The sequence below is a fragment of the Homo sapiens genome, chromosome 17 (genome assembly GCF_000001405.40).
Source record: "Homo sapiens chromosome 17, GRCh38.p14 Primary Assembly".
NCBI lineage: Eukaryota > Metazoa > Chordata > Mammalia > Primates > Hominidae > Homo > Homo sapiens.
Genome location: NC_000017.11, coordinates 40,849,662 through 40,859,637, shown reverse-complemented (window position 1 = coordinate 40,859,637; position 9,976 = coordinate 40,849,662). Strand labels below are relative to the sequence as shown.

Genomic DNA, 9,976 nt, shown 5'->3' with positions numbered 1-9,976 from the left:
CTCACGTCTGTAATCCCAGCACTTTGGGAGGCCAATATGGGCAGATTGCTTGGGCCCAGGAATTCAAGACCAGCCTGGACAACATGGTAAAACTCTGTCTCTACAAAAAAAATTTAAAAAATAAAAAAAAATTAGTCGGGTGTGGGGGTGCACACCTGTAGTCCCAGCTACTTGGGAGGCTGAGGTGGAAGGATTACCTGAGCCTGGGAAGGTCAAGAATGCAGTGAGCTGTTATCGTGCCACTGCACTCCAGCCTGGGCAACAGAGTAAGACCCTGTCTCAAAAAAAAGAAAAGAAAAAAATATTTTTAATGGTTTCAGATCCTCCACTCATCTCACTTTATTATACGCTCAGCTCTCTTTGTCTAGCCTTCACCTTCCAGCACACATCCTAGGGTAACCTTTACCTTTCAGACTCAAAAGGATTTTATCAAGGCCTCTGAACAAGGTCCACAGCCCCCAAGTAATAAATAAAGGATTCTACTTCCCTGGTGCTCAAAAGTGTCTGCAAATAGTTACTGCTTTAAATAACATCTGTTTTCCTTACAACTACATAAGAATGGTGTGAGACTCAAAGGGGAAAGGATTTTGCACAAGTATAAATGCAAGGGTCATTTATTAGCTAGTACCATAGTTTCTCAGCATTCCCTTCTCTTGGAAATTTTTTACCACAAAGCTCCCAGAGCCATCACTCTGTAGGCAGCTTTTTCTCAGACTTCTGTGACTGAATGTTGGCTCAATCCTCTTGTCTTTTCTCTATACTCCCTCCCCAGGTAACCTCATCTGATCCCTCCCCAGCCTCTCCTCCCTGATCTTATCCCATGGGTTTTGTTTGTTTGTTTGAGAGGGAGTCTCGCTCTGTTGCCCAGGCTGGAGTACAATGGTGTAATCTTGGCTCACTGCAACCTCCACCTCCCAGGTTCAAGCGATTCTTCTGCCTCAGCCTCCTGAGTAGCTGGGGCTATAGGCATACACCACCACGCCCAGCTAATTTTTGTAATTTTGGTAGAGACAGGGTTTTGCCATGTTGGCCAGGATGGTCTCCATCTCTTGACCTCATGATCTGCCCGCCTCGGCCTCCCAAAGTGCTGGGATTACAGGTGTGAGCCACCGCACCCAGCCAATCCCATGGTTTTAAATAGCACCCACATATTGGTGACTTGTGGCAGCCTCCAGGTTGGTGCCAGTGATCCCTGCCTCCTGGTCTTCATTCCCTTGTGTAGTTCCTTCTCACAATGAACGAGGAGCAGATTTATTGAAGAAGTGACAGTATATGACCTCCAAAGATAGATCACAAAGGCCTTTCAGTTCTTCCTTGGTCTCCTGGACTATATGCTCTTGGGGAAGTCAGCTACCGGCAGGGTTATATCGTGGGGGAAAAAACTATCTGAAAAAAATTCGTGATTTCACAAAATTTCCCATTGAAGTTCCAATGGCTAGGATTTCATGGCACAGCCAGCAAGACCCAAATAATAGTCCTTTTCTGATACTATCTTGGCCAAAATATCCTATAAGTCTTCACTTGGCAAAGGAAGCATTACATTTCTTATTATGTAACTTCACTTTGCCCTGTTCTCACTGACAAGAAATGCAACTAGCACAGCATCTATCAGTCCCTTCGGGCGGCTAGAACAAAATACCTCGGACCGCGTGGCTTAAAAATGAGAGAAACTTATTTCTCACAGTTCTGGAGGCAGCTTCACTGTCTGATAAGGACCCGCTTTCTGGATCATACACAGCTTCTCGATATATCCTCACATGGCAGAAGGGACAAAGCAATGCCCCAGGGCCTCATTTATAAGGACAATAATCCCCTTCGCCAGGGCTCCACCCTCATGACCTAATCCACTCTCGAAAACCCCACCTCCTAATACTGGGTCATTGGTGATTAGGTCTCAACATACAAATATGGGGGGACAAAAACTTTCAGACCATAGCAGCATCCTTATCATGAGAGTCTATCCCTCATTCACTAGGCCACAAGCCCTAATTCAACACAGATGTGAGAGGTCCCTTTGGACTCGGCAAGTAATGAATTGCAGAAGTGGAAGGTCTGTCTTTAAAGAAAAGAACTCCTAAGAAAAAAAAACTGAATAAAGAATCCTATAGCAAAAGACAAGTACATTGTTTATGATTATCCTAAAATCTAAAATTTTACAAATTTAAATTTTTACTTTGATATGCATATGTTGTGTGTAAAAGCTAGTGGAAGGTCTGGAAAATACTGTATATATACTGAACTGTTATAGTAGTTATCTCTTGGGGATTAGCAAGGGGTTTGAAGAATACCTTTATTAAAATGTTTAACAAACAGCATATATGACTCTGATAATCAGAAAAAAAAATAAATGTTATTCTCCCAAACAAATGGCTTTGCAAATGGGTCACAGCAGGAAGGAACCACCTAGAAAAACAACCACGTAGAAAAACAAAGCCAAAGCTTTATTTCTTTAGGCTTTGTAAGAGTGCCATCTTCTGGAGTCTCAAGAAATGAACTTTAAAATAAACTAACCTGGCTGGGCGCGGTGGCTCATGCCTGTAATCCCAGCACTTTGGGAGGCCAAGGCAGGTGGGTCACTTGAGGTCAGGAGTTCGAGACCAGCCTGGCTAACATGGCGAAACCCTATCTCTACTAAAAATACAAAAATTAGCCAGGAGTGGTGGCGTGCGCCTGTAGTCCCAGCTACTAGGGAGGCTGAGGCAGGAGAATAGCTTGAACCCAGGAGGCGGAGGTTGCAGTGAGCCAAGATCACACCACTGCACTCCAGCCTGGGCAACAGAGCAAGATTCCGTCTCAAAAAATAAAATAAAATAAAATAAAAATAAGCTAAGCCTGTGTGTTCAAGCCACTTGAGATGTATTGATACTAGAAGGTTTATCTTTTAAAACAAGAAAGAAGAAAAAAAGCAAACCTTTTACAACGATCAACTTAGCAAATTAAAATTGTCTTATTTAACTAATAATTAGTTTCCAAAAAGTTCACCAGTAAGGAGGCAGTTCTACAAGGCATAAAGTGAAAAAGAAAGTTAGCAATTATTTAGAGTTAAGAAAACCAGCCAATCAATAACTACTCAGGCTTTAAAAACATACTCAAATATCAAATGAAAATGAAATTCTTAATCATATAGCTGAGTAAATGATTTTTTTATGGGGTAGTAAATGTTTCTTAAATCTTGGAACTGAATCCAAGATTGTGCTGAGCTAAAGAAACCAGACACAAAAGAATACATACTGTATGATTCCATTTATATGAAACTTTCAGAAAGATAAAATCTCATCTATAGTGACAGAAATAAGCTCAGTGGTCACCTGAGCTGAAAGGTGTGGGAGGAGTGAGAATTAACTGGTTAACCTGGAAGGGGCACCTGAGAACCTTTGGGACCGATGGAAGTGTTCCGTATCTTGACTGTGGTGATGGGTCCATTTAGCAAGGCTCTTCAAACTGCACATTTAAAACGAATATATTTCATTGTAAGTAAATATTAACTCAATAGTCAATTTTAAAATAATAATTGAATATTCTTTCTTCAGATGATACTGTCCACAGGCGCAGAGAGGCCATGTAGGATCGTCAAAGGTGTCCTAGGGCAAGCTGGCTCTTAATCACTGATCAGTAAATATTCAGGAATTTTCCAAGCTGGCTATTAAACCATGGGCAGCTTGAAATTGGCCATGATGGGAGTATTTACACAAATGGAACTTGGGCTTTTAAAATGTATTTCCCAGAAAACTGTTTTACACCAGTACACCACTGAGCATAGAGGTTAAAAGCACAGTTCAAAGGCCTGAGTTTGGGTCCCAGCTCTGGCACTTTCTAATGGTTTTACTTACCTCTCTGTTCCATAGTTCTCTGTTCCCTAAAATCAAGGCAAAAAAGGATACCTGCTTCACGCCCTATTATGAGAATTCTATGGGTCAATTCACACTTGGCATATAGTAAGCACTAAATATTACCTGCTATTATTATGCAAAGAAAAAAAGTCTCTCTACAACTAAAGAAATGAACTGGTTTACATATTTCCCCCAGACATATTTATTCTTTTTCTTCCCTTCATGCACAATCCTAAATTATTCCACTTTTGTAAAAAAAAAAAGTGCACTTTTCTCACCCAACATATGGGGAGGGGGGAATAATATTTATCTTCCCTCTATCACAAGTTGTGAGCATCAAATAAGCCAACTTCTGTGAAGGAGCTTAACAAGCCATAAAGCACTTTGAAACTATAAGATGTGCTTTCTTCAGAGATGGGGTCGCTCTCTGTCACCCAGGCTGTAGTGCAATGGTGTGCTCATAGCTCACTGCAGCCTCAAATTCCTGGGCTCAAGTGATCCTCCCACCTCAGACTACTGCCATTTTAGTCAAATGTCAGATGCCTGATGAAAGGTGCAAACCACGGTGCCTGTCTAAAATGCTAATATTAATGTAGCTGCTCAAATTGAAGGGGAGGATTCTACAACTAAATACAGAGTATATAAAATAAATTAAGAAAAACTGGGGCTGGGAGCAGTGGCTCACGCCTATAATCCCAGAACTTTGGGAGGCCGAAGCGGGCAGATCATGAGGTCAGGAGATTGAGACCATCCTGGCTAACACAGAGAAACCCTGTCTCTACTAAAAATACAGAAAATTATCCGGGCGTGGTGGCGGGCACCTGTAGTCCCAGCTACTTGGGAGGCTGAGGCGGGAGAATGGTGTGAACCCGGGAGGCAGAGCTTGCAGTGAGCTGAGATCGCACCACTGCATTCCAGCCTGGGCGACAGAGTGAGACTCCGTCTCAAAAAAAGCTTAGCATTCTTGGGAATTGTCATGCATGATTTTAGGGTTTATTTCTTAAATTAGCATAATATAGCAGAATTATAAATAAATGCAATGCTTTACACACATGCAATAAATTGTTTGCAAAACTCAGAATAGATATTTTAACTTTATAGACTGTAAAAACATGAGCATCAAGCTTTTTCAGGAAAAAAATTCTGCATACTACTCTTCTTTAGAATTAAATTCATTGCGAATTCTAGTTGCTAAAATATGTCATTGTTTTTTCACTATGTACATATTCTTAATGAAATGCAACTCTTCTTCAAAATGATGGAACAAATACGCAATTTAGAAGCAGACCTGTAAATAAATCACACTGATAAAACAGTCCACAGACAGCAGTGGGCTCTAATAGAAGCCATTTAGATGGTATTTCAGGCTTTCTCAGTGAGTCATTATCTTACTCAGAACAAGTTACTCAACTTGAGATGACTCACTTTGTACAAAAAGACAACAATAATATCACATATAATCACATTAGCCCGGCATTTTGAAATCTTTAAAAACACCGTAAACACACGACGCTATGACCTTGGTTGGTAAGAATATGGTCATTTTAGTTACTGACTTGCACTTATTGATCTCCTGAAGTTATACATACACTACTAAGTTTCTGCTAAGTGTACTCATTTTGAAATATTTCATTTATTTGCAAGTAACATGGGATTTTAAAGAAATCACGTCAGGCTGCAATTTCACGTTTCAAATAAACAGAGCAACAAGTATAACTTTTTTGACAAGTTGCAGTGTAATTTTTATTTTTTATTATTATACTTTAAGTTCTGAGATACATGTGCAGAACGTGCAGATTTGTAACATAGGCATACACGTGCCATGGTGGTTTGCTGCACCCATCAACCCATCATCTACATTAGGTATTTCTCCTTAATGTTATCCCTCCCCTAGTCCCTCACTCCCCGACAGGCCCCGGTGTGTGATGCTCCCCTCCCTGTGTCCACATGTTCTCATTGTTCAACTTCCATTTATGAGTGAGAACATGTGGTGTTTGGTTTTCTCCGCTGGCTTATTTATGTATACAAGTGGGGCATCACATATGCATTTATTTGTGTATTCATTCTGTAGCTGTAATAGGTTCATTGCCTGGATGTTCACAGCAAGTCAATACCCAGAGGCACCAGGTTGCAACAGAGACAGAGGTTTAATGGTAAGGCCAACAAATGAGGAGAAAAGAGAAAACCCCAAATCCATCTTCCCGGGGACTCTGGGGCGAGGGTTTTTAAGAGTTTTGGAGTGAGCCAAAGCATAGAGATTGTTGATTAGTTGAAGAGTACAGGGTGAAGTCCCAGGACAGGGAGAGAAAGAAACTGTACTCTCATGCTCATTTGGTTTGTCTGTGGGAGTCTTTAAATTGGTTGGCGTTAGCAGTTCCACAGTAATTCAGGATCCGTTTAAGCAATTCTTAAACAAAAGCCTCATGGTTCTAACATTAGAATTTCTATCTACAGGAACAATGGGGATGCAAATGGTCAGAATCTAAGGTTATGTGATGTTTAGTTACAAGGAAGTGGGTCAAAGTGCAGCCTGGTTAAAGCTTAATTATAACTACATTTCTGCCCAGAATTCTTAATTCTGTGAGGATGGCTTCAATTCCTTCAACAAGCTTTTATTTAGCACCAACTATATGTAAGACTCTACATAGTCTATTGAAAATAACCTCAGTTTTTATGATCTAAAGGCAAATACATGATAAAGTTTCATACAGTTTTTACATTGTATATTACAATTTACATTGGATAAAAAGTACCTCCCAAGGTGCTTTACGGTGTTTTCACTGGATACCCATTTTAAACAGCCTTATGTGCTGATTCTGGATGATAATTTTAATGTTAAACTTCCCTAGCCTATCTAATATATGACTGAGTAGGCTGACAAATAATAAAATAAATGTTTATCATTTAAAAAATACAAATATATATAATCAGCATCCAATAGAGATAATCCTGGAACAAAAATTAGTACTACAGAATTAGATCCAGGCTAATCAGAATCCAGCAGTGGTGTTATAGGAAAGCACAACAATGAAGTCCTTCTCAGTGTTATTACTCAGAGGCTAGGGGTAAGAAAAAGTCCTTCAGGTGATGTGAAGTTAGGAGAATTTTACTCAGTTCCCCTGTGTGACTATGGAAGGTGTTTTTACAGCTTGCAGAGCTGAAGGAGATAGAACTGAACGCTGGCCAGTGGGAAGACAAGAACTGCTCAAGGGAAAGGAAGGTCTCAGTAGGGAGGAGAACCTGATGAAAGTTTTAGTCATCATTATCATGATTATCTGTCACCTCCAGGGTACACAGGTAACAGTTGCATTAAAGAGGAGATCATTTCTGAGGAGCTAAAGGACAATATAATATTATAACACCAAAGACACAAAGCTGAAGTAGCAGGTTACACAATTATTTGCCAATTTGTCCACAGGGAGACTTTTTAGCTGCACTTTCCAAAGCATTGGCACTCTGAAAACTTAATCATATAAAACTACATTCCCAACATGTAGAATATGTATCATAAAACACTTGCTATACACATATATCCAAACATCTTATGTCCTTATGATAATTTATCTCTGAACTAAAAATCTATTTAGGATCACTATGGATCATTTAAATTATGTTTCATTTTGTCAGAAAAAAAAATCAAATAATAAAGCATTATTTTAACTGGCTTTTACCTTTCAGTTAAATTGAACTTTAACTAAACAATCAAAGAAAAATTATTCCTCTATCAATGTTGATCTAAAAATCTTTCAATTGTAGCTTTTTAACTAGGTCAAGCTCCAAGTCTCCTGACCCTAGATTTATTTATTCATTCATTCAACAGATACCTATACATATCCTGGCCATATCTGGTATTTTGCCTCCTCATCCAAGCCACTATTTATGTCTCTCTCCTGGCTGACCACACAGCTTCCACCTGTACCCACCTCTCTTCCACTCTTTCCACCAGAGCTGGGGGGATCATTTTGAAAAAGCTGATCCAGTCACTCCATTGCTTAAAGGCCTTCAAAGGCTTCCTATTGTCCTTGGAATAAAGACCAAAACCCAGCAAGGTATGGCCTGGCCTGGCCCCCTCTACCCTCTTTCAAATCGTGTGCCCTCTCTCCCCCTCTATCTTCTCCAAACCTACTGGTCTTGTTTACTTTATTTTTGTATATATTTAAGATATACAGCATATGAGGTTTTGATATACATATACTGAGTGACAGCAATACTACAGTCAAGTAAATTCTAACGCCATGCTCCTTCCCACTCTGGCAGCTTCTCACAAACTTTCCCTCTTTACCTAGAATGAGCCTCCACCCCCATTTTGGCCTAGTTAACAATCCTAGTCACCAGTTAGGTCCTAACTCAAATGCCCCTCATTAACCAAGTCAGGTTCTCCTATTCTACCTTCTCATACTATACTGTAGTTATCCTTCACAGCTCTTAGCGCAATTTGCAATTATACATTTATTTGTATGAATATTGAAATAATGTCTGGCTCTACCACTGCATTCTCTCTAAGGGCAGCGGCCATGTCTGTTTTGCCCTCCACTGTAGCCCTGGCATCTAGCACAGTGCATAAAACAGCACATATACCCTACTGCATAGGAGACAATCAATACTTGTTGAATACCTGTGCACAGAATTACGTACAAATGCTAGAATATTCACTCAGTAAAAGCTGGAATAATGCCTGTATTACTCTCCTGGGCTCAAGCAATCTGTCCACCTCAGCCTCCCAAAGTTCTTGGATTACAGGTATAAGCCACTGTGCTTGACCACCTGTATTACTCTCTAGGTACCATTAAAAGCACTCAATAAACACTGGTTGCACAAACATTGAATGGTGGCGATATATTTCTTCTATTATTTTCTTGAAATAGTCATTGAATTTTTATCCACTGATTTATTAACTCTAAATTTTCCAACACTTATCTTTGGAAAGACTGAATGAACAAACCCTACCTTATTAAGGCGCAGAAGCTAAGGAGTGTCCATCACAAAGGAAGCAAAGAGGATGGTTTGCATAGATTCCATTTGAATCTATTTGTTTTGGTTACTCTATTTAAAATATGCTTGCGTCATATGAAATTGAATTCCACTTACTTCCTTCTCCTTAAATCTTAATAAAGGAATTAGGCTGGCTGTTTGAGACTAAAAAATCCATCAAGAAGTTGTTTGCATTTTACTGAGATATTTGTTGAATTCAATATTTCCAGAAAACCCTCAAGATACTTGTCACTCTATAGGGACACAAAATTTTCTTATCTAATATGTACAATCTTTAACTTGACAATTTCACAAGGCATATTGATATAAATCATATTGCTCAATATCTGGTGACTCAGTAGAAAGTGATCTTCAGTTTCAACAAGCAGTCTTTTAATTCATGACGCTTTTTCTTAAGGAAATTAACCTGAGGACTTTTTCCCATACATCTAAAGAGTACTAGAAGTTGCTTTCAAAACATAGAGTAACTTGGTTTCCATGTAGTATTTATAAGAAAAAAAAATCTGTAGATATTCACTTATAAAGGCAAGCTTGGAATCCTCTAATTCGTCATTAAAGTGTGCTTTGTATGTAGGCAATCGCCTAACCATAGATACAAAACTGAGTTATCTTAAAATGGCTGATGGAACACTGGCTTTCCATGAAAATATTCAGTCTGAAAATGTAATACTCCTGCCAATCTAGATCAAAATAGAACTTGTTCTCCCTTAATAACGAGGTGTTCTATCTAAAAAACATTGTGCTCTCTCTCTTTGGTGGTCTAGCAGTTAGGAATAAAAATTAAAAATAAGTAAAATACACTTTTCTCTCAATCAAACTAATATTTACTGGTCACTATGGAAGCAAATGGGAGCGGACTAGTCAGGTATGCAAATAACCTTGCCTCGCCAGGTATAAAGTGACCTGCCACAGAAGTTTGGAAAAGGGAGGTAATATAAAGGGCTGGGATATGAGGACCACTCTTTACAGCAGAAAGGCATCTGAGCAGAGCCTTGAGGAGTACATAAAATTTCAACATATGGTATTAAATGGGAGTGGATTGGCAAGAATAGGACCAAAGAGCGTGTCCTCTGGAGTGTTTTCCCATAAAACTAAGTAATCATCACACCAGCTGAGAACCATAAGTTCCTTGACCCAGGTAGTCTGCACTTCCT

The 9,976-nt window shown here is 39.4% G+C and overlaps 1 long non-coding RNA gene across 1 annotated transcript in view, besides 1 other annotated feature; it reads right to left on the bottom strand.

The window, feature by feature from the left end:
- LOC105371777 (uncharacterized) overlaps nt 1–8,840 on the bottom strand; it is a 70,694-nt gene extending 61,854 nt beyond the window's left edge. The window contains exon 1 of the long non-coding RNA XR_934754.3: nt 8,778–8,840. This is a non-coding gene — a long non-coding RNA (uncharacterized LOC105371777). The remainder of the gene's footprint in view (nt 1–8,777) is intronic.
- Nucleotides 2,347–2,641: an enhancer, noted in NCBI's record as "tiled region #3631; K562 Activating non-DNase unmatched - State 12:CtcfO". NCBI's record gives its function as "activates a minimal TATA promoter and a strong SV40 promoter by Sharpr-MPRA in K562 cells {active_cell/tissue: K562}" and the evidence as "EXISTENCE:reporter gene assay evidence [ECO:0000049][PMID:27701403]".
- Nucleotides 8,841–9,976: the final 1,136 nt, after the last annotated feature.